The 25,345-nt window shown below is 36.6% G+C and overlaps 1 protein-coding gene across 4 annotated transcripts in view; it reads right to left on the reverse strand.

The window, feature by feature from the left end:
• AGMO (alkylglycerol monooxygenase) overlaps positions 1-25,345 on the reverse strand; it is a 444,793-nt gene that overhangs the window by 62,618 nt on the left and 356,830 nt on the right. Inside the window, exon 13 of one of the 4 annotated variants that reach the window (NM_001004320.2) lies at positions 20,477-21,519. The exons of the other annotated variants lie outside the window; for them this stretch is intronic. Coding sequence (NP_001004320.1) covers positions 21,445-21,519 — 75 coding nt within the window. The 3' untranslated portion in view covers positions 20,477-21,444. Of the gene's footprint in view, positions 1-20,476; positions 21,520-25,345 lie in introns of those variants that run through there. 4 annotated transcript variants of the gene reach the window in all.

Genomic DNA, 25,345 nt, shown 5'->3' on the forward strand with positions numbered 1-25,345 from the left:
ACACTGCCATGGCTTTTACCTTCCAGAGCAGGAGATAAAGCCACACTCAAGTTCACTTCAACCATGGCTGGATTGCCACAGGGGTACTGTGCTAGAACGAGGGGATGAGAATCCCAAGATGGCTCTGAGTGGCAAACCTATGGGGCATTCTCTGGGGGCATATCCCAAAACCATTTTGCCCTCCTAGAGCTCTGGGTTTGTGATGGGAGGAAAACCTCCAAGATCTTTGAAATGCCTTTGGGGTCTTTATTATGTTGATGACTAACACCTGGCCCCCTTCTATCCACAGTAATCTCTTTAGCAAAAGGCTGCTTTGCTACACCTTTGGCGTTCTTTCTTGAATGTGCATTTTTATGTCATCAGGCTACAAATTTTTCAAATCTTTCTACTTTGCTTCCCTTTTAATTAGAAGTACAATCTTTAAGTTATTGCTTTGCTCTAGCATCTCACTGTATGCAGTTAAAAGTCACCCTATAGAAGCCTGAATACTTTGCTATTTAGATATTTTTTTTCATATTCCAGTTCATCACTCTAGAGTTCTGAATTTCATAAAGTCCTAGAACATGAACACAATTCTGCCAAGGTCTTTCCTATTTTGTAATAATAATAGTCTTTACTGTAATTTTTAATACTTTGTTCATTTCTGGTGAGGTGTGAGACCTCACCAGAACGCCTTTTACTATCCATTTCTACCACCATTTTGGCCATGACCACTTAAGTGATCTCTAAGAAGATTTAGACTTTCCCTACTCTGCTCTTCTGAGCCTTCACTATAATTTCACTTAATGCTTCATTCACAGCAATCTAGGCCTTGTCTAGTCTGTTCTTCCAAATTCTTCCAGTCTCTATTCATTACCCATTTCCAAAGCTGTTTCCACATTTGCAGGTGTTTGTAACAGCAGCAGCCCTACTTCTCAGTATTTATTTTCTGTTTTAGTTCATTTTCTGTTGCTATCGCAGAATATCACAGACTGGGTAATTTATAAAGAAAAGTTTGTTTGGCTCACAGTTCTGGAGGCTACGAAGCCCAAGAGCAGGGCACCAGCATCTGGCAAAGGTCATCCCATGATGGAAGGCAGCAAATGAAAGGGTGAAAAGGCTCACAAGCAAGGGATACATAGATAAAACTGGGATGAATTTATGAATTCAGCTCATTTTATGTAAAGCCCCTCTCCTGTGATAATGAACCCACTCCCTCAATAATAGCATTAATCTATTCATGAGGGCAGATCCCTCATGACCTAATCACCTCTTAAAGGTTCCACCTCTTAATATTGTTACAAAGACAATTAAATTTCAACATGAGTTTTGGAGAAGACATTCAAACCATAGTAGGTACCAATTCCTAAATTATTCACAGTTCATTAGAGAAGAATTCTCACTTTTCCTTTCTAAGGAGGTATCATCTGGCTATTATCACTTCATGCTAAGTGTAGAGAGGTCTTTCACATAAAATTTCAATTGACTGTTATTTTAATGCCCACATTTTATTCCTACTTCCTATTTCTATCAACTGAGACTCTTTAGGGACAAAACTACTTCCTCCTGAGCTAGAGCCCCTTCTACTCTCATTCTTCACTGGACCCAAACGAAACTATTTTATCAGTCACTACCCATATATGAATTGGCTTTCTAACTTCCAAAAAGCTTCTATCTTTCTAATCATTTCCCTCTTATTCTACTCCTATTCTATTTTTGTTCTAGATACATACCTTTTATTCCATTGCTCTTAATGCAATAGGTTTTCAGAAAGGAGATAAGCTTGTAGGTTCAATATATTATATATATTATCTAAAACTGAAGCCCTCCATTATTCCTTCTTTAACTTTAATATTCACTATAACGGAAAAATTCTAGACATTTTGGAAATATTATTTTTGATGGTAGTGTTTTGTTCTGATTTGCTTTATATAGTTTTAGTATGTACAGCTCCTGAGAAAGCAAACAAGAAATACTTTTACTGCATTGATTGATAGTGGGTGACATAGAACTCAGGGATTTCCAAAGGTTTTTAAGGGTGGTGCAGATAAAATCTGTAATCTATTATTATATATGAAACATATATTGTGCACTCATACTGATAGCAGCATTATTCACAATAGCCAAAATGTGGAAGCAACCCAAGTGTCCATCCACAGATGAAAGGACAAACAGAATTTGGTATATACATCAGGAATATCATTCAGACTTGAAAACGAAGGGAATTCTGATACATCAGTAAATCTTAAAAAATTATGCTAAGTGAAATAAGCCAGTCAAAAAAAGGAAAAATATTACATAATTCCACTTGTATGAGGTGCATAGAGTCATCAAATTTATTAGACAGAAAGTAGAATGGTGTTTTCTTAGGTTTGGGGGAAGAGGGAAGTGGGGAGTTAGTGTTTAATGGGTACAGGATTTCAGTTTAGGAAAATGGGAAAGTTCTGCAGATAGACAGTGCTAATGGTTACACAACAACGTAAATACATTTAATGCCACAGAACTGTGTACTTACAAATGGTTCGAATGATAAATTTTGTTATATATTGTACCACGATAAAAAATTAGGAAAAAAATCAATAATACACTGTTTTTATTTATTTATTATTTTATTTGAGACAGATGTCACTCTGTTGCCCAGGCTGGAGTGCAGTGGCACATTCTCAGCTCATTGCAACCTCTGCCTCCTGGGCTCAAGCGATCCTCCCACCTCTGCCTCCCGAGTAGCCGGGACTGCATGTGTGCACCACCATACCTGGCTAATTTTTTGTATTTCTGGTAGAGACGGGGTTTCACCATGTTTCCCAGGCTGGTCTTGAACGCCTGAGCTCAAGTGACCCACCTGTCTTTGCCTCCCAAAGTGCTGCGATTATAGGAATGAGCCACTGTGCCTAGCCTCAACAATACACTTTGTCTTAATGGGTTCCGACATTGCTATAAATAAATACCTGAAACTGGGTAATTTATAAGGAAAACAGGTTTAATTGGTTCATGGTTCTGCAGGCTGTAGGGAGCATAGTGGCTTCTGGGGAGGCCTCAGGAAACTTTCAATCGTGGTGGAAGATGAAGGGGCACATCTTATAAGGCCATACAGGAGGAAGAGAGAGAGTGGAGGGAGGTGCTACATATTTTTAAACAACCGTATCTCATGAGAACTCTATCATGAGAACACCAACAGGGGATATCCACCCCCATGATTCAATCACCTCCCACCAGGTCTCACCTTCAACATTGGGGATTACAATTTGACATGAGATTTGGGAGGGGACACAATTCCAAACCATATTGCACTTCTTTTGTTCAAGTATACTTTTTTTTTTTATAATGATGGCATATATGAGCAACTGAAGAGGGGTCTGCCTTTATATGTCTATTCTATCCTCTTGATATATTTTTCTTGCACCATTTTGACTTTAAAGAAAATAAAATTTTCTCATTTCCAAAGCCCACAAAACTGGAAGAAGATTCAAGTAAATGGATCTTAACTAACATTCACCATGCCCCATCCTTTCTGCAGGGTGAAAGAACAATAGACAAGGTGTGTGAAGTTTGCAAGTATTCATGTTCTTATTACCTATCATAATATTCTGATACAATTTACAATAGACAAAATGTTAATTTTATGCTTAATATGAACCACTGTTCTTGAAAAATGCAGGCAATATTATCAACCGCATCCTCACTTAAACAGAGTTGTTTGCCTATTGTCCTTGGCTTTCAGTTCAGTAATCTAAGATTCTAGAGTCAACACTTTTGGTTCTTCTTCAGATTCTTACATTTAATGACCACTTGACTTGTAGAAAGTTGCTTACACTCTGTAAGTCTCAGTTTCCTCAACTGTAAGATGGAAGTCATTGCTACTTAAGAGAGTCAATGTGAGGATTCAATGAGTTAAGACACATGATGAATTGGTAATCTGTAGCATCTATCACCTTTTAAGGTCAAACTGCAATTAGAGAAAATTAAACCTTTAAGCATCAAATAGTTGTATTCAAATAAAAAATATATAAACAAATTATTTTTAATGTCACAAGGGGCTAAACAAAGACAACATAAGAATTTTAATAATTGTGGTTTGTTAAACACATAAAATTTGATAATTGTCCCTTCCCAAGCACAGTTTTCTATAAAGTGATTGTTATTGTTAAGCAAATTTTAATTAGGCAGAAATACTCAGCATGTTTTAATAAATTGTTAAAAACAATATCTCCTGGGAAAGCACCCTTTTATTTAATTTAATCTCTTCATCTGCATCAATCTGAATATTTTAACAGATACCATATACTCAATATATATCAAAAGTCTCAATGTAAATTCTCAAAAACCGGAGTGCTCATTTGAACTTGAATTTTTAAAGCTTTAAAAGAAATTAAAATGTCATATTTCTTTGGAAAAAAGAAAAGTAAAAAATGTAAGGAAGGAAGGAAAGAAGGGAGGGAGGGAGAAAGGGAGGAAAGAAAAGGAAGGAAGGAAGGGAGGCAGGCAGGGAGGGAGGGAAGGAGGGAAGGAGGAAGGAAGGAAGGAAAGAAGGGAGGGAGGGAAGGAAGGGAAGGAAGGAAGGAAGGAAAGAAGAGAGGGAGGAAGAAAGGGAAGGAAGGAAGGAAAAGAAGGAAGGAAGGGAGGGAGGGAAGGAAGGGAGGTAAGAAGGAAGGAAGGAAAAGGAGGGAGGGAAGGAAGGAAGGAATAGAAGGAAGGAAGGGAGGGAGGGAAGGAAGGGAGGTAAAAAGGAAGGAAGGAAAAGGAGGGAGGGAGGGAAGGAAGGAAGGTAGTAAGGAAGGGAAGGAAAGAAGGAAGAGAGGGAGGGAGGGAAGGAAGGAAGGGAAAGGAGGAAGGGAGGGAAGGAAGGAAAAGGAGGGAGGGAGGGAAGGAAGGAAGGGAAAGGAGGAAGGGAGGGAAGGAAGGAAAAGGAGGGAGGGAGGGAAGGAAGGAAAGTATTAAGGAAGGAAAAGAATGGAGGGAAGGATGGAAGGAAGGGAGGAAGAGAGGGAGGGAGGAAGGGAAGGAAGGAAGGAATGAAGGAAAGAAGGGAAAGAAGGAAGGAAGGGAGGGAGGGAAGGAAGGAAGGAATGAAGGAAAGAAGGGAAAGAAGGAAGGAAGGGAGGGAGGGAAGGAAGGAAGGAGAAATGAAAGAAGGAGAGAAGGAAGTATAAGGGAGTCGTGAAAGCTACAATTGAATTGTTTTGTTGTGCAAGTACATTTTCTACTATATAATGGTGGCACCGATAATAAAATAAAAATCTATTCTTTCAATGTTTTTCAGAATATAAAGAAAAAATATTCATATAAGGTTAAAATTTAGGGAAGTTTTTTTATATTCACATTCTAATACGGCCTACTTAATTTTTCTTAAATGCCTCCAAAAATACCATCATCTTATTCTTCAATGTTCCATTTCAGTTAAATATTGATTTTAACTAATTTGATCATACTGTCTTTCAGAAAATAAATATAAACTAAAAGATATAATATATTTGAATTAGAGAATCTAAGGTACTTGTTTTACTGGCCTTTCCACTTGCCTGCCTGGTTTTGACAGTAAAGTACATTAGGTTTCAATTTTGTTCTAACTTTAGAACAAATACTTGTTGAAAAAACTACCTATGAACATATTTCTGTTTCTGGTAGGTAATGAATGAGGTCTAAAATCCCTGAACGTGCTTGACATCTCCTAAACCACGCACTTTGGTACTAGGTGATCTATGGCCCTAGGATAAGTGGTTCTTTCATGAAAAACTACGGGGCTTCTGTCTCATGACTGCCAGTCGGCATCCCAAGGAGGCAGTCCTGCTCACGGAGGCCAGGTGTCAACCAGAAGGAGAGAAGGCAGATGATTTGTCTGAAACTTAATCATAGCCTTAGAACTTTTCATTTGAAGATTGGAGTCCAAAACCCTGGCTGAGGCACTGAACCACAGGTGAGCAGTGAAAATCACAATCTATAAAGAATATGTGCCTTGTTTTCTAACAGAATGAGGTTAATGGATTTTCAGTACCACTGTATTTGAGACTTATTAAATTGGCCTAGAATCAAAATTAATTAAGCAGTTTCCAAAAGTTCGAGGTATGCTTTCTTCTCATCCAGTCTTCTAAGTATAGCTCTGCCTCATAATGATTTTCAAAACTCTGTATACAGAATTTTAATTATCTTCTTACAAAAGCTATTTTGTGGGCAAGATGTCTAGTTACAAGTGCTGTAGACTAAAACAAATCGACCCACAAAGCTCATCTGTGAGCATTTGATAGGTACATAAATATTCTTGTCACTCTCAATACCTTGGCCATTGCAGTCGGAGACTCTCCCCCTTATTGGAAAAGTCAACTCTAAGGCTGGTTATTGCTTCAGTAATATTCTGTTGGTAATAAGCCACTTTGTAAAGCTTTGTTCATGAGTTCCAGAGAGCATTTGGCTTCCAACAATACAAAGGACCACTGCAAGCATTTTTGGTCAGTTTTGATTGAATGCAGATTGCAGGATTGTTTTGCTAGACCACATTACTCTTTCAAATGTTTCTTCAGTAGTTGCATATTACTTTCTAATGATAATCATTTGCTTTTCCAGAGCCCTTTGGCTCCTGATGTTTTACAGTGAATTTCCTCAGAATCCATCTCTGTCTTCACTGTGCTTCCCTCTGGGTTAAGAGGAGGCCTGTAGCTCCTAGTCTTTCACATGGCCACATGAACAAATGGCTGCAAAGAATGAGTAGGAAGAAACCCATGAAAACCACCCAACTTAGGCTCTATAGAGGGTGATGTGCAAAGTAGAATGTTTCTTATAGTTGCAGAAGGAAAGAATTCTAAGAGCGTGCTATGAATTCTATTTCATGACATTTAAAAATTGTTTTTAATATAAATTTTATAGCTCTTAGAGTTCTTATATAACCCAAAAGGTAAACTAAAGGTTAGGCAATTCAGTTGGATGTTTGGGCCTAACCAGATCCCAGTTTTCTTTCATTGTCTGCCGCCACCGCCCCCACATGCTTCCTTCTCATTCCACTTCTGGTGGTCCCGGCGCACTTTGCAGATGTTTCTCCCACACAGTGGAAACATTCCCTAATGTGTCCGTAGACTTCCAGGCTTGGCTCATATGGGAAAAGGAAAAATTGGAGAGAAAGAATACGTTTCTGGATTGGTGTTATTTCCTTTCGGGCCTTTCAAAAGTGCTGAAATAGAGAAGAAATTTAATTTAGACCTATTCATCTTTCCCACGCTGCTAGCCATGTAAATGGTTTATAAAGTAATTTTCTTTTTAATTTAAAAATGTAAATAAACAAATAAGTGAACCTTGTCATTCAGTCTTTCAGACGTCTCAAGATAGCTATCTGATGTTAGAAAATTTTATAGAATTGTGTCTATGTTTCTTGCTTTTAAAATAAGAGTTGCTATCAATGCATCAGTTACTTGGAAAATTAGAGTATCTATGGTTTATTCTACATAAAGCTTAAATACTGCATCCTGTAATTTTCAAATAATTTTCATTAAGAGATATTTCTTCCCTGTTTGCACATTGCATATGGGACACCAGTATGCTGAAAAAACAGGACTCATAGATAAAAAAGGAAAATAACGATTTGCATTTCCTCCATTGCCTCTCCAGCCTCTCTGTAGAGCTACTTTTTGTCCTTGGATGACATCTTGGGCAGCATCTGTATTTCACACGTCCTTTCATAAAAATCCTTTCATCACGTTAGTCATAAAAAATATTCTCCATTCAGAAATTAGCATGCCAGTGTCCATATTTGAAAAGCAAACTTCATTAGAGTTTTTCCCTCTCCGGTACCACCCCTTCCTCAATTTGCCCTGCTGCCAGTGGGAAGTGTGCAATTAATATGTGTATGTGTGAGTGTGTGTGGGTCTGTGTTGTGTATTGGGAGTTTGGTCTTGGTTTTTCTTTACTCTGTTACATCTTCTATCTCTCCTGAAGCCCAGAGCTCATTCACCATGCAAGTAGAGGGGAGGAGAAGAGTCAAGAAAGGGCTTTCCTTGCTACCATTCATTTTCAGACTGTTTTCCTCTTGTCTTGTTGGTGTTTAAAGTTACTCCCCATTAGGATCTCTCGGGTAAATTCGTGACAAGGATTAACTCCCCCCCGACTGCCCATGCATCTGGCTCCAACCTCACACCAGCATCTAGCTTTAAATCTTAACAGTGCTCAACTGACATTATGTCTTTCCAGACACCTTATGTCTGTTCTCACACTCACTATTCTCCTTTTAGTTCACGGCAAGCTTGCAAATGAGACCCGCTGCCATGAACGAGGCTACTTCCCAAATGGAGACACTGGCCACTTGGGTAGACTGGTATGGGTCAAACAGAGGTTCACGAAGAAGGGCGCAAACTTCAATGGATGAATACTATGGACTTTATTGACCTTTCTGAAGCCCCAGTTGCCAGGAGGTCCAGGTTTGAATTTGGCAGTCCTATCACTAGTTGTATGATTTTGAGTAAACTGCTTAAGTCTCACTCAGTTTTCTCAGCCAAGAAAAGAGTATATTACTATTTACCTCATAAGGTTATTGTGAGGATCACATGAGTTAGTGAATGTAAGATACTAAGAAGAATAGCTGGTACATGGGAAGTACTATGTAAGATTTCATGTCCATTATTATACTTACAATAGTATAGTAATATGTCCATTACCATACTTGTACTAAACATAAGTATACTGTCAATAAGGACATGAGTCTGTAGTTAAAGAGAGATTTATGAGCCAGATACATACTTTTGGTGTCTTCAAACTGTAGATGTGGTTAGTATAATGAGACTGGGTGATAACAGCTAAGGAGTGAGTATAGACAATTAAGAATTTTCAAGCACTGGGCTCTACATCCTGAGCACTGAAAGGATTAGAGTATGTGGAAACGAGAAAATTGCATCCCAAAAGGCTCATGAGTTCATAGAAAAGCAGATAAATATAACGTCTGAACTGAGGTAATACAGTCTTTCAAAGACAGTGTGGTTAGTGTCAGATGCTACTGAGAAGACAAAACAAGTAATGGCCATGAACTGATCGTTGGAGTTAACATCAGCATTGTTCTGATTTTGATAAGAGCATTTTTAAAGAATAGTGGAACAGTGAGGGTGAAAGCAAAACCAGTTGTGTCCAAGAGAGAATCGGAGGAGATAAATTAGAAACAATAATTACAGACAACTTTTTGAATGAAATTTGAGGTAAAATGATGGAGATAAACATGGCTAGCTGGAAGTAGAAGTGAGATGAAGAAATAGTCTTTTAAAAAGTTGGGGAAAATAGCATTTTTAAAATATTTTGAAGGATCCTAGAAAGAGCATTTATGTGGTATTAAATTCCTCAGAATTATGAGAAGAGGGGCATTGGGGAAAATGAGAGTGGGCCACCATCAAAAGGCTTTAAGAAAAACCCAAGACAATTAGGGGAGAAATCCAGGGAGGAGTAAGAACTGCCATGAGGGAAATGGCCTTATTATTAATGAAATTTACAAATAGGGCCTTGCAAGACTTCCTAAAAGAGAGAAGATTCTAACTGATTTTAAGTTTTTTTTTTCTTTTCCAGTGAATTAGGAAAATAGACTCATTTTATAAACATTTTACAGCCTCTCTTCCATTAAAGAGCTGGAAAGAAACTCAACTTTGTGCTATCATAGCTGATTTTCCATTTGGAGCAACGAATGCTAGTGAGATAGAACTGGTATCTTTTAACTGAATGCAAGGTCCTCCAGCTTTGGAGCCAGCACATTAATAGCTAATGCTTCACTTTTTGTTTTTTGAAGTGAAGTCAGCCAATAAAATGTTAAGGAACAGCATCTTCTTTCCTATCAGCAACATTCACAGCGCATCGCACCTTCCATACCACTCCAGGATCTCATCAAGACACAAAGTTGTATATTGAATTTCAGTTATGAAAATATCTAAAGAAAGTCAAGTTTTAGATTTGATCTTGTCTTCTCATGTCTTCGAGCGCTGAGATGTAACAATAGAAAAAGCTATTTCTTGTTGAATTTTTAAGCTGATAGTTTACAGTTTTCAGAAATGTAAACTATCAGCTTAAAAATTCAACAAGAATTTTTTATACTAGTTGCTTAAATGTATGTTGTTTACCATTTATATTTCATAATAAAGTTAAAATCTAAATTATTCTTAAGACTCAGAGTAAGCAGTTTCCTTTTGTGTTTTGGGACCTTCCCTGCTGTTCCAAGGAGCTACCCATATCCATATGTACCAAATGACCTGAATTTCCTGAGGTGTTTGTGTAGTCCATGTACTCAAGATTTTTAAGTGCCATATATATATATATATATATTTATATATATATATATATATATATATATATATTTATATATATATATATATATATATATATATATTTATATATATATATATATATATATTTATATATATATATATATTTATATATATATATATATATATATATATATTTATATATATATATATATATGCAGCAAACAGCTGTTTGCTTTTTAATATCAGAAGAAATGCACATTAAGGAACTACCTGAGATTCTTTACTCTTCCAAAAGAATAAAAGGAAGGCCAAAGAAGCAGGTTATCAACTAGTAAGTCAAAATGTGGTGGCCTTTATAAGCACACAGAGAGTAAAGTAGATCATACTTCATATAAAACTTTGATTTCTCCATAGTGGAAAGAATAAGGGAGGTAGAAGAAATGGAAGTAACAGAATAAAATATACAGCAGAGAAAGGACAATAGGCATTAGAAAGGGCAGGATGTCTGAAAAAATAAGAATTAGAATTTGTAAAATTCTTCTAAGATTCTTTTCCATTTTTTGCATTAGAATTGTCTGGCTCCCTTCTAAGGTTGTCCCCATTGACTTGATTCTAATGAACATACTATGAAATAAAACCTTATTAATTCATTACCAACGAAATACAAATTATTGAGTAGTCCATATCTGATCAAAACAGAAAGAGTTTTATTACTTTAAAATATAGAAGTAATTTGGATTAACTGATACAGGAAAGTCAGAGTTGCAAAGGAACACAGACTTGATCTGGACCATTGCTCTCATTTTTTTTTTTCACTGAAGAACCAAAGGAAAGAATAACCAGACTGGGTTTTGAGGCTTGTTTTCTAAAGACCTCTTATTCACTTCCCATGTCTGTTCAGGGTCACACATCTAGTAAGTGGCTAAATTGGCATGAGAGTCTAAACACAATTCTTACCTTAGGTTTCTGCAACCAAGCAAAATTCATCTTCAAGAAACTCAATTAATGGATTACTTACTATATGTGTGCTGACAATTAAGGCATTTCTTTGGGAACAAAGTTATTTTAAGGAGCTTAAAGGTGACCTCAGGAATTTCCATGGAAATATTACATAAAATTTCTATTTTAAATAAATAGAAAAAGGACAGTTTCTTTATAGAGTGGGAAAGAAAATTTTAGACCATTCAAGGATCAGCAATCACAAGCATGAAAAGAAGTAGAAACGCTACCAAGTAACACGATATCTTGCTAAATGTGGGAAAATATATGAACCCTCTTTTCCTCTAGAACAGGGATTCTTATATTTTAGGTTGCACATAATCCCCCTAGGAACCCAGGTACTTGTGTACATACCAGAACGTATCTCTGAGGTCTGGATTACTTCAGTCTAAGATGGGCCTTGGGAGTAACAGGTGTTTTGATGCAGATAAACCACAGCCCACAAATTTGGAATCAATGACCCAGTCAGATGACATAGTTGAGACTAAACACCAAACTACTGAACATGAACTTTTGTCAGATATTTTTTATGTATTATAATTGAATCTCTTATAATTAAGGGCAACGAAGTAAGTCTTCGTCAAATTGAATGGATTCTTGAAACTGTTCAGTGATGAAAATCATTGTTCTTCAAGGGTCTCAATAAATTAGCTTAAATTTTTAAAATCACTTTACTATTAAAAGTTTTTTTAAGGCACTAAGTCATTCATTCTTTTATTTGCCAAGTTAGTATATTTAGAATGTAAGATATTGAAAGTGCTTAACTCCACTTCTGACTCTTCAGCCTAGACACATCAAGCAGTGTTAAATAATGTAAAAGAATTTTCCTCTCTCTAGCATATTTATGAATGGCTTACATAGGTTTTACTGGTAGAGTGATTGTCTAAATCATTGATCGAATAAAATCTCTCACTCTCACTCTCCCTCTGTCTCTCTCTCACACACACACACACACACACACACACACACACAGAGAACTATTCATCAAAAATCTGTTTTAATATGTTGGCAAATTTATACAATAGTATATTCAAAACTGTTTCCAAAATAAATGTTTTTCAAAACAAGAAATAACAAAACCATGTTAATATGGAGAAGAGGCAGAAGTGTGGGATTCCCGACCAAAGGCCCCACCTTCGAGCCTGGAAACCGTGACCCTAAATGAGAAGTTATCCCTGTTTTCCTGCCCAAAATGTTGCTTTATCCAAAATCACCCTGGCCCGCCATGCCCCCCACATCCTGTACCCATAAAAACCCCAAACCCCAGGCTCCACAAGCAAAAGAGTGGAAGAGTGACAGAGCAGCATGGCAGAGAAGGAGAGAAGAGAAGGAGCATCTGAACACTGAGAGGAGTTCGGCTGGGGATGGTTGGAGAGATCAGCCACAGGACAGCCAAACTCCAGGGAAGGTCATCTTCCCACTCTATCTCCTTTCTAGCTCCTTTCTAGCTCCCCATCCATCCCACTGAGAGCCACCTCCATCACTCAGTAAAATCCTTGCATTCACCATCCTTCAAGTCTGTGTGACCTGATTCTTCCCGGACACTGGACAAAGGTCCAGGTACCAAGAGCGCAGGGTGTAAAAAGCTGTCACCCTGACTCTCCACTGAGCTGATTAACACTTAGCCATCCCTAGACAGCAACTGCTAATAGAGCATTAATTGTAACACACCCTTAGACGCTACTGTGGTTCCAGCGCCCAAAAGTGCCCGCCCTGGCTCCTGCACCTGTCCATTTGAGTGTTCCCCCTCCCATAAGGAGTTTGAGCACCAGGAGCCAAGCAAACTAGCCACACCCCTGTCGTAAGTCCCATAAGGGGGTCAAGGAACTTTCCTGTTTCAATGTCACCAAAGCAAATTTTTAAAAAACCTTCACACTAATCATCTAGGTTATAGAATATTAAAAATGACATAAACAGAATAATTATTCTTAATATATACTCTAATCAGTTTTCTTAGTCACTTCTATCTTTAATAGCATGCCAGTGGCATTTTTTGAAGATATTGTTTCTAATATGGTGTTATTATTTTGAATTTTTAAAATAAAATTATCCGTATTCTTATTCAAAGTTTCATCTTATGGTTAATACATTCAAAAGTGTTGACACTTGCAATTGACTTTTCTCTGCATAACACTTATATTCTGAAAATACTATCCATACAGGTACTGAAGTATCTAACAAGCTATAAAATACAGCAAATGTATGATATTTTCTAATTTTTCTCTTATTAAGTGATATAATTAACTCCAACATATGTCATAGCTCTTGTATTTTTGCCTACATTCAGAATAACGTTTCAAAAATATTTTACAAAACAAAATTTATCAAGTAATTTGTCTTATTTATTACTTGTTAATTGTTTTACCAAATTTACAAGCTGTGAAATTATGGCTTTTTAAATTCTGTTCCTTCTTGGTACATAATATAAGTTTATCTCTTTTGAAACAGAAGTTTCATCAATACTCTCAAGCTTCAACTTTGGGTGTCAGAGTTAAATCTCACTTGAAGTTGGAACTCTTATTATATAATTTGTTCAGTCCTTTCCTAGTTTAATAGGGATCAATTTCAATATCTCCCTGTTTGCAAGCTTCGTTTTCAATAAGTGAAATTCACTAATAACTTCAGGAACAAAAGTTTTGTCAATCTTTACTGATATTTGTCTAAAGATCTCCAACTAGTTCTAAACAAATGCAACCAAGTTTGACAGAGTCTACCATAAAGTTCAGTAACATGAGAGGACACAGGTTTGATTTAGAAAATTTTTTTCAAAGTCTTACTCACTTCTAAAATCTGATGTCTGGCAGCAAAACATACTTTTATTTTGATGTATTCTTTTGTATTTAACATCAATTGTACAACAAATAAATTTCTAGGCAATTTGCAACTTTGTATACATAAAATATTTTTAAATTTTCACAATATACCTCTCTAAATACTATTATTTTTATGTCCAACACAAATAATTTCAAGAAATTTTTCTGCTAACAATCAATCTCTTAATTTAGAAAGAACACTGCTTTGTATTACTACACTTATCCACCAAAATTTCTGTTCATACTATCTCTACAAAACAAATATAATTTTATTTTCAGTATTAAACTTTTTAATTTGTAATGATCAAGTGTTTCACATTTGATGGGATAGGCTGTTAAAAATTACTTCAGTTACATTAATTGAATGAAAATATTGATCCGTTTGGAAAATCAGATGGCAGTGAGATGAAACTGGTATCTTTTAACTGATTGCAAAGTCCTTCAGCTATGGAGCCAGCACATGAATAGCTACTGCTTTATTTTTTGTTTGTGCACAAGGTAATTTTAATGGTTAAATAAGTAAAATTAAAAAAAAAGAAAAATATATATAAGTAAAATAACTTAAAAGTCTTTTAATCTGAATAATGATGCATTTCAGAGAGTGCATATGCCCTCTGCAGTTGCATGTGTTAGATCTCCCCTTTGAGCATGAATATCTTAAAATGAGTACAAACTTTCGAAATAGATGCTGATACTTCTTCAGCACACTTATTCCTTCTGGTTTTTGTGCAATCAGTAATATCACTGATCTTCCCCCACCCTGTGAATAATATAAGTTGATAAACATTTTATGCAAATTATATGTTTAGCATAAGTTTTATTCAAAAGCAAATCAGTACTTAGCTTACTAAATATGGAGTTATTAATTTGGTGGGGAGGGGCTCATGGCATCCTGATGATTTTATGCATCTTGCAGCCTATTACGTAGGCCAAGCCAAGGTTTCCTAGTGTGCCGTGTGGCTGCCAGGTTCCATTTTTAGATGATCTCCAATACCCCCTGTCTAGAGAGAATTAGCCCCCTTTAGGCTCCGATTGTCTCAGCAGACATCATTTTACCAGCAAGTTAAAATGCATGCTGTGTACTGCCTCAGAAGGGGATGTGTTAGTTGCATTTGTCTAATGTCTCTGAAAGGGATGTGTTGGTTGGATTTGCCTGAATAGGATAAGGGGAGGAGAGAAACCATTATGTATGGACATCTTTTACATTTAACTTTGTGTTACAGGGAGAGCTCCCTTCAGTGAGCACACATACCTCACACTACTACAAGAGACCCTGGAAGAAGCCAGAAGTGTAAAATAGGGATCTACCAAACCTAACCCCCTGTATATTTTAACACTAAAGCAGTCATTGTCTGGGATAGATACCTGAGGTTCCTTGCCTCATGCCAGGGAAATTAAGGACATGGAAACACAAAAGAAGTGAGTTGAAGAGCAGAGGTTTAATAGGAGCAAGAAAGAGAAAAGAGAATAGCTTTTTTCCTTGCAGGGAGAGATGGGTGCCCCAGTGGGTCTTCCGTGCCCCTGGTAAAGTGCACAGGGTTGTACAGATTGGCTTGAGGAGGTAGTGCCTGATTTACATAGGGCCCAAAGATTGGTTGGACCAGGTGTGACGCTTACATAGTACTGCGAAGAAGCTTGTCACTCCACCCTAATCTTTTTATTATGCAAATGGGTTTTGTACTTGGCTGGCGCCATGTTGTCTGCTCCTTACCGTACACGTGGTTAGCAAAGAAAAGGGAACATGGAACCACCGTTTTGAACATGCCTAGTCCCCAGGTAGCCCCTTTCCTATTGGCACAACTGCTGGCATTTACCTGTGCAAGCTTCTAGCTTGCCTTTCCATGACTGCAGCTTGATTTTACAGACTGCTTTTTGTTAGAAAAGAAAATGATTTAGGAGCTGCTTTTCTTTAAAAGGAAAACCTTACCGAGGACTTCCTTATCCTCATAATCTGCCCAAATAATGCCTTGTTAACTCCTGTATCATTACCATTATTAATAATCTTCCATTAAAAATGAAAAATCAGACAAATGCAAACAGGACCTATGGTGACAATATTTTTCGACCACATCTCCATTCCCCACTCTACCTCCATTCACTCTCCAGCTTGCTGATGCTTACATAGTATTTACATTTTCTGGCTCAGTTCCTCCCCTTCCCTCCTCTCTTTTCTTTTCTTTCCCCCTCCTCTCCCCTCCCCTCTCCTCTCCTTTTTGACAGAGTCTCGCTCTGTCACCGGGCTGGAATGCAGTGGTGTGATCTCGGCTCACTGCAACCTCTGCCTCCCGGGTTCGAGCGATTCTTCTGTCTCAGCCTCCAGAGTAGCTGGTATTACAGGCACCACCACCACATCTGGATAATTTTTATACTTTTTTTTTTTAGTAGAGAAGGGGTTTCACCATATTGATCAGGCTGGTCTCGAACTCCTGACCTCATGTGATCCACCCAACTTGGCCTCCCAAAGTGTTGGGATTACAGGTGTGAGCCACCACGCCCGGCTGGCTCCGTTTCTTTTAAAATGTATGCAAAATGATCTCATGTGAAACAGAAAACTTTGGTGGCATGTCTAAATATCCATGCTTACTTAATCAGTATTACCTCTCTTAATTAACATCTTTGCTATAGAAACAATATTCTCTCACACTGCACAACTTTTCTGCTTATTTCTAAAACTTGACAGGAGGGACAAGAGAAGTTCTCCTTCATTCTAGTTTGGCTGTAGCTTCTGCAGCTTATCATTGCCAGAGGTTTGAAAAATATAGAACCTTTGGCACGTCCTCAGTCTTACTAAATTCAGTGTTCCCAACAGTCATTTCCGTTTCTAAAAAGATCCACAGGTAATCCTGATGCATAAAGCAAAGACTGTGTCTTCCTGGTTTCTGTAATGTAAATCAAGACAAGTTGTAATTTGGGGCTTACTGCTGTTAAAATGAAGAAAGAACATGCCCAAGAAATGAAGTTATTATGATTCATGGATATTGGGGTGCCTGGGTGGTTGAAAATGTTTACATAAATAGTGCTAGAGTTGTAGAATGTCAAAAAGAAGGCACAATCTGCAAGAGATAAACATCAATGCTTAATTTGCTAATTTTTTCTAATTGTGTCTTGGGGAGGAAGGAATGTAAGTTGTTAGGAAGAACGGATGGCAGAACTGGAGTGAGATTTGAAAAAAATGTTCTAATAATGAATAGAACGTTTTTTGTTGTTGTTTTTTTTTTCCACTGAGGCAGGCTTAAGATAGAGCCAAGCTGCTTCCATCATGTTGCTGAAAATTATAACATAAAAAATGTTTTAAGATTCTGAAAGTCAAACTAGTCTGTTTTTTGCTATTTTATCTTGGGTTTCTGGAGTCTATGACTATGAGAACATGGGCGAGACATTAAAAAGGAAGCTTATTTTCTATTGTTCTCCCGAATAAATCCTATTACTGTACACTATAATGTATACCATATGTTAAAGAATTCCAGTCAATGATTCTATTGCAGATTCCACACTGAGGGATTAAATTATATAATCACTAGTAAAAATGAAATTTGAAAATATTTAATAAACTATCATGTAAGCTGTTAATGTTAAATACAAGGGTTTATATACTTTAGCAACTAATTGAACATCTGATTCATGATTAGGAATGCACATATTGCTAAATATCAGGACTCTGAGACGATTAGATTCAGTTTAACAAAAATAATTTGATGGAATGAGATGATATGGAAGTAAATGGCATAACTAATAGAGCTAAGGTAATGAGCAAGTCTGGAGGAAACTGACAAGTCCTGTAGCCTCTTTCAGACATATGGCAATCCTATAAGTAAACTTACGATGTTGCCATTCTTAGAAGGTTTAGAAGTTCTGGACTCATTCACCCTGTCAATTAATCTTATGACTAAAATACTTATCCTGAGAACTTTTTTTGTATCTTGGAGCATCAAATTGAATTGAAAATACTCTGAACTTAAACTCCTCAGCTTATACTTTTAAAGGCTTGCCTTATTCAGATGTCTGACATCGTGGAATGGGGAAACATCATGGACTTCAATGTTCGACTTCAGAGAGTTTAAATTTTATTTTGGTCACTTATTACATTTCATGGGCCTGTACAAGTTATTTAACCTCAGACTCAAAATTATCTGCTATAAAGTAGTGTTAACAGCTCCTAACAGGATTGTAGAGACTAAATAAAATAATACTAATAGAGGACTACTCATTAAACAAATGCTCCTTTCCTCTATCTTTTCTTATGGTAGATTAGGAAAAGTAAATATCTTCATATGATTTGCAAAGTCAGTTTGCATCTCTCCGATAGAAGTGGTGAGTAATTGACGAGTCCTATTTTTAGGGCTTTCCCGAGAGAGAGAGAGAGAGAGAGAGAGAGAGAGAGAGAGAGAGAGAGAGAGAGAGAGAGAGACAGAGACAGAGAGAGAGTGTGTTAAAGTCCTTCCAGTAAGCATACATTACATGGTATCACTCAAGATCAATTTACAACATTAATAATAGCTGTATGTTCTGTCATCATGTATTAGTGCTCTGCAAAAGAAAACTGGACTGGAAAATTAGCAGGGTTAAAGAATAAAGTGAAGAATAAAGTGCCTTGGTTAATAATGCACAGAGGCCCTAGAAATGTAATCGCCCAATGGGTTCATTGCCTGCTGCCAGGACAGAGCCGATTTATCAAGACAGGGAAATTGTAATAGAGAAAGAGTTCAATTCATGCAGAGCCAGCTGAATAGGAGACTGGAGTTTTATTATTACTCAAATCAGTCTCCCTGAAAATTCGGAGACTGGGTTTTTTAAGGATAATTTGGTGGGTAGGGGGCCAGGGAATGGAGAGTGCTCACTGATCAGGTCAGAGATAAAAATCAAAGAGCCTTGAAGCTATTCTTGGCTGAGTCAGTTCTTGGGTGGGGGCCACAAGACCAGATGAGTCAGTTTATCCATCTGGGTGGTGCCAGCTGATCCATGGAGTGCAGGAGCTGAAAAATATCTCCAACACCAATCTGAGGTTTCACAATAATGATGTTATCCCTAGGAGCAACTGGGGAGAGTTCGAATCTTGTAGCCTCTAGCTGTATGACTCCTAAGCCTATTTTCTAATCTTGTGGCTAATTTGTTAGTCCCACAAAGGCAGCCTTGTCCCCAGGCAAGAAGGGGGTTTGTTTTAAGAAAGTGCCGTTATCATTTTTGTTTCAAAGGCAAACTATAAACTAAGTTCCTACCAAAGTTAGCTCAGCCTGTGCCCAGGAATAAACAAGGACACCTTGGAGGTTAGAAGCAAGATGGAGTCTGTTAGGTCAGATTTCTCATTGTCTTAATTTTTTCACTGTTATAATTTTTGTATAGGAGGTGTCTGGAACATTACCTGTCTGGTAACCACTCCCACTTTCATTGGCACAAATTTGTATCTTGAAAATATCTGTATTTCTAATAGAAAACCATTCACAATCACAGTGAGGTAAACCCAAGAGAGAAGAGAGAGAATAGACAGAATTCAATTTACTCAAAGAAAACTGAACTTCACCACAAAAGGATCTTTTCTCATTTGGGGGAATTATTTATTAACATTTCTATTATTAAACTCATTTTTAGGCTAATCCTATAAATTCACATATATTAAAGCATATACACATATTTATGTATCATTCCTTGGGGAATCATTAAGCTCTTCTGACATACTAAACAACTATGTAAAGATTAGCAAAAAGTCTCTTTTCTTTGCCATTACTGAAGAATGTGTTTTACCCACTGAAAAGTCTCTAGAATGTAGAATCAGGGTCTTGAGAATGTTTATGCCTTAAATTTCCTAATTTCAAGCCAGCAGAGGGCTCCCTACTGTAACATGATTCTGTATATGTATACAAAATTCTGTGAAAATTGTTGTTAAGGGACAAAAGCAGGATTCAATATATGTTATAGGCTTACGTATTGTCTATAACTATGTGTTAAATTAAGAAGTATAAAAAGAATGAAGCAAAGCCAAACCCACTTCTGATACTTGAGATAGAATGTGTTGCTTTTTCATCATGCAAAATTTAATCTTCCTCTGCTGTTCCAGTTTGAAAACTAAATATGCTTCAATTCTGTATCCTCAGTTCACATAGACACCTGCAGTCTGATTCTCTTAATACTCTATATTTTTGTCCATTCAAAGATTAAATAATGTATTGCTAATATGAGATTATCTAAGTCAGGCTCCTTAACCCAGTGATACATAGGCAAAGCTCAATGAAGAACAGCATTAGTTTTTTTTAGTACATGTGTCTTTGATTATTTAAATTATTAAATTTTATTATTAAATTATTAAATTTTAACTTGATTTCAAGAAATATTGGATAAATGAAAAATAAAGATTTTTTTTTTAACTTTTTCCAGTTCTCATTCTTTGGACTTCATCCTGCTTATCCCTGTCAGTTCCCTCCTAACGAAACACTTGGTGGATTTTTACAATCCCAATGAACAATGTACACACAACACCTTGGGTAATTTTATTTAGAGAATTAACATTGTTCTGATAACTTTAAATAATGCAGAATTGCTGCATGCTGCCCAGTCTGCCAAAACAAATTGACCAAGCATATTAGAGAAATGTATGACAAAGTAACCTGTTGAAAAAACTAATTCTGACAAATTCTGTTCATTTTTCTTTCAGTGATGTCTTTTTTCTTTGAGACGGAGTCTCGCTCTGTCGCCCAGGCTGGAGTGCAGTGGTGCAATCTCCACTCACTCCAACTTCTGCCTCCCAGGTTCAAGCGATTCTCCTGCCTCAGCCTCCAGAGTAGCTGGGACTACAGGCGCACACCACCATGTCCAGCTAAATTTTTATATTTTTAGTAGAGACAGGACTTCACCATGTTGGCCAGGATGGTCTCTATCTCTGGACCTCATGATCCGCCCACCTCAGCCCCACAAAGTGCTGGGATTACAGGGGTGAGCCACCGCGCCTGGCCTCAGTGATGTCTTTTTCTGGAATGCAGCTTCTTAGGTTATATGGATTGCAAAGGTAACTGTGGCCTTAGGAAGACAACCAATGTAATACATTTTTATGACTACAAACATGTATCTATGCATAATTTTAGCAAACATCAAAGGAAACATTGTTTTCAAATTGATGTAAAGGCAATATTCCTTCTTGTTTTTACTGTTTTTAAGTTTCATCCCTTCTTTTTATACTTGTCATATAAGGCTATCAGTTAATATAACATCATTATATTTGAAATCTTTTTTTAATTGTAGTAAAGGGGGGAAGTAACCAAAACTGACTTTAATTTTTAATAGAAAATAACAAATGTGAAAGGCAAACAATAGTAAATAAGTAATTTTACTTTTCATTGAAGAAATAGTTCATATAAGCATTACATAAAATAATTACATTTTAATATGCAGTCATAATATGCGTGTGGACAACTCATTAAAAGAAGAGAATTATGTACAAATTCAGGTTATTTCCAAGGGTGAGAGGTGAGTTGTTTCATGCTTCTAACTCCCCAGAAAGCAATGCAAATGGAAAAAACAATCTGAAGAAATAAAACACAAAGAGAAAAAAAAATTAGAAGTGAATCAATACTATTGCTCAACTGAATTAAAAATATTTCCCTAGAGGAAAATGAACATGGACATTTTAGGGAGTCAAGTTATTAAATTAAATCTAGCAATTGTTCACTGATAGAACTTAGCCAATTTAACTTAAAACATGGTGTGTGAAGACAGGAGCAGGAGTTAAGAAGTTTTATTTCTGTGGCTTGTTTCTTATATTCACAAATCTGGGTCATTTCAAGGAATGAGGCTAGACAAGTTAGATATTCAGACATTTCTTCTGACATTTGGAGATACAGCATGCTGTATGCATTATACTAGATGATCTAATTGCTTATATAGGTTAAGAAACCTTTGGAATAGGAGAAGTAAAAACACTGTTAAAGAATCCCTCCAAGTCAGTATGATCTAGCTTACTATGAATTTCGCCCAACGTGAATTAAATTCTAAACACTGCTGATGATTTACCTCCTCAGTCTTTTGATTTTATCAGGTGTAAAAATGTAACTGCAAATTTCTTTCACACTGAAGACTTAACTGAATCATATTAAGCAGCCTGAAAATTTCATTGAGTTTGTTCAATCCAGGCTCTGGTCATGGTCTTTGCACCATCAGATTTCCCAAAAGTAAACACTTCCCTATGCTCTTACCTAGGCACCGACAATTAAAACTATAGGATTGCTTTCCTGATCACCATTTTAGGTGGTTGGGTAACTGGAATGATGATGAAAGCAAACAATGCCAAAACAACCAGAGTTATTGGGATAGCTGTGCAGGAGTTTCTCTATATTTTTCATGTATGTGTATACTTCCCCTCCATACTATTAAAATAGGACCAGATGCCTCTCCCCAAGAAGAATATCACTATACCTGGAAGATTCACTGAAATATACAAAGAGAGAACATTTAATTAAGAAGATGAAGGCATGGGAGCATTCTGGTGTGGGGAACTCCGGTGAAGTCAAGACTGTTAACTGAGGACAGCTGTTAACTCACAGAAAATACCTTGAACTATGCTGATTTTGCTATTAAAGCATGAATGAGGAAAAAACATCACCAACAACCAAAATACAAATGAGCAAAAAAAAAAAAAAAAAAAAAAAAAAAAAAACCCTCCCAAACAAGGATGTTTCCATTTATGAGTGGGTTGTTCAGTTTCATATGAACCTCCTGGATCTTTCTAGAGAACCATCATCCTTCACATTAGTCAGGTTGATGGACTTCTTCAAATTCATGCATTCCTTTTAGCCTATAACACCCACAATATGAAAAAATACTAAAAATAAAATCAGCAGTTATATTGAAGGAGAAGTCAAGAATAATATTAACGTCTTGGAGTTGCCTCAGAAGTCAAATACAATATATTTAAAGGCTGGTTTTGATTTTGTTTCTTTTGACTGTAATTCAAGAGAAATGACCTCATGGCACTTCTTCTGATGGTGCCAGGTAAAATAATACTGCGCTGGGGGGAGTATTTTTGAAAGCTCTTAGACTTGTGCAATGAGTTGCATTTGTCCATGAAAATGGGTTAATGCTGAGAGGGGCGCTGAGAAGATAGCTTTTCAAGTGAGACAGAGATGATAAATCTATAATATCAGAGTAAATAATTTACTTTAGATCCAGAATATTCAGCAAGCAACTAATACATACCTTGTGTTGTGCAGGGTGCTGGAATCTAAGCTATATTTGGCACTAGAAGTCTTTATTGGTTACAAGGATGATCTCCCTGAGGGAAGGCTGAGTACAATTACTTCAGTGAAACCTCATAAGTTGTATATAAAGTTTTCGGAGTATTCTCATAAATCTCATAATTCTCCTCTTTTCCATTCTCAATTCCCCTAGACTATCCATACTTTCATCTCGACTTCCAGTACTATTAAAAATTTTTACCTAAATAGGAAGTGGAAAAGATTACAAGTCTAGTTATGCCTTGTTATTAATCCACCACTTTCCACTAAATCTTTCCACCTTTGAAACTGTGATTCACATCCTTTATCCTCTAGGACCTACCTCTAAGTAAATCACAAAAATCTTCCCTTTTCCAATTATCTGAAATGCTTTCAAATTCCTACCGAAAATGCAGTACTGAAGTTAGCAGTCTTATTTTTTTTTTCTTTTCTTTTTTTTTGTTTTTTTTTTTGCTTGCTTGCTTGTTTCAGGCTCCTATGTGTTATCCCTTCAAAGAGATGTACAACTGGTTAAGCCTAGGAGTCAGGATCAGATTATATTAATGTGCAATGAAGACCTTTGCTTAGGCCAGCACTGTCCCACATGCCTTTATTAGATTATGTCATCTAATTCTCATGACAAACTTTGGTGTACTGGTATCCAATTTGGCAGTGAGACAGTAGGAACTCAAAATTCATGTGGTTATACCAAGGAATCACAAAACTACTAAATATCAGAGCTAGAATAAAGTTTTACATTTACCCCAAGAAAATCTAACTGCAAAACCTAGGAAATCATTTCAAAGAATATGAACATCCATAGTGAATTCATTTCCTTTTCTGTAGTCATCACCTAGATTTTCCTAGTTATTTTTCTTCTTGTGTCAGTAACCGCTAGGCTTCTGAGACCTTTTCACTATCAATATTTTAAGAACAAATTTGGAATTTTTATATATAATAAAATCCAGATTGGCAAAGGATCATAGAAATAAAATAACATAAATGTGCCCTTCTAAAAATATGTGACTCTGAAATATTCACCATTCCATTAGAAAATATTTCAGTAGAAGAAAACAGAGTTAATTTTACACTTTAGAATATATGTGTTTATATATAAATATTACATACAATGTATAGATTCAAATATATATTGCACTATAATTTTAAGCCAGAAAATTATTTAACATAGAGTCAATATAACCACCTGATTACCGTAGTCACTCCATTTAAAATTTTCCTTGTCCAACTGTTCTCTTGATTTTTGTATTACGCCATTTATTTTAGGTCTCCTTAGTTGATTAGATTAAATATGTCACTTTACTTGATAGTTCATTAACACATTTCTCAAATATTTGTTAAATAAATACAGAATTCCTACTTAGGCTAGTGAAAGAATAGATGAAAACTGTAGACTTCTTATTTTGCAATATTTGTCTCTAATCTACATATATGATGTTTCCGGATACATACAAACTCAATGCACACTTATTGTATCCTAGTTCTAGGCAAGTCCCATGATTTTAACAGCTGGATTCTAAATATAAAGCAGAGGAAGTTCATTCTTAGTGTCAAGCCGTCCTTGTGCTAACACATCATTAGTGGTCCTTGTCTTCAGGCTATTTCCTTGACTTCCCAGGAACCTCAACTCTGATGCCTGAACTTTTGGCCTGTACAGATGCTGTCATGTTTCCACCATGCCTTTCCAAAAAGTTCATCAATTGGCAGGTGGCTAATCTGTCAGTAATCCATATTAAAATTTTAATGGGGACTGGTGTTTTATTCTGCTGCTCCTCTCAGTTATGTGTGTGTGTGTTTGTTGCTTTTGTTTTAAGAGACAAGGTCTTGCTATGTTGCCCAAACTGGACTCGAACTCCTGGGCTCAAGCACTCCTCCCATCTCAGCCTCCCTAGTTGGGCCTATAGGGACATATCATCTCACCCAGGTTTATGTCTGTGTTTTGAGAGGCCTTATTCAAAATGGCTCTAATGAAGAGGAAATCAAGCATCTAATCTTAAAGGAGAGAGAATAGTGTGCTTGTTGCATGCTCTCAAATTGCAAACCCTCAAATTACAAAGAAATGTGGTGGATTTGACTTATACCTATGTACATATCTGTCTCTTCTGGTTTTAATACACTTACT

The sequence above is a fragment of the Homo sapiens genome, chromosome 7, assembly GCF_000001405.40.
Source record: "Homo sapiens chromosome 7, GRCh38.p14 Primary Assembly".
Lineage (NCBI taxonomy): Eukaryota > Metazoa > Chordata > Mammalia > Primates > Hominidae > Homo > Homo sapiens.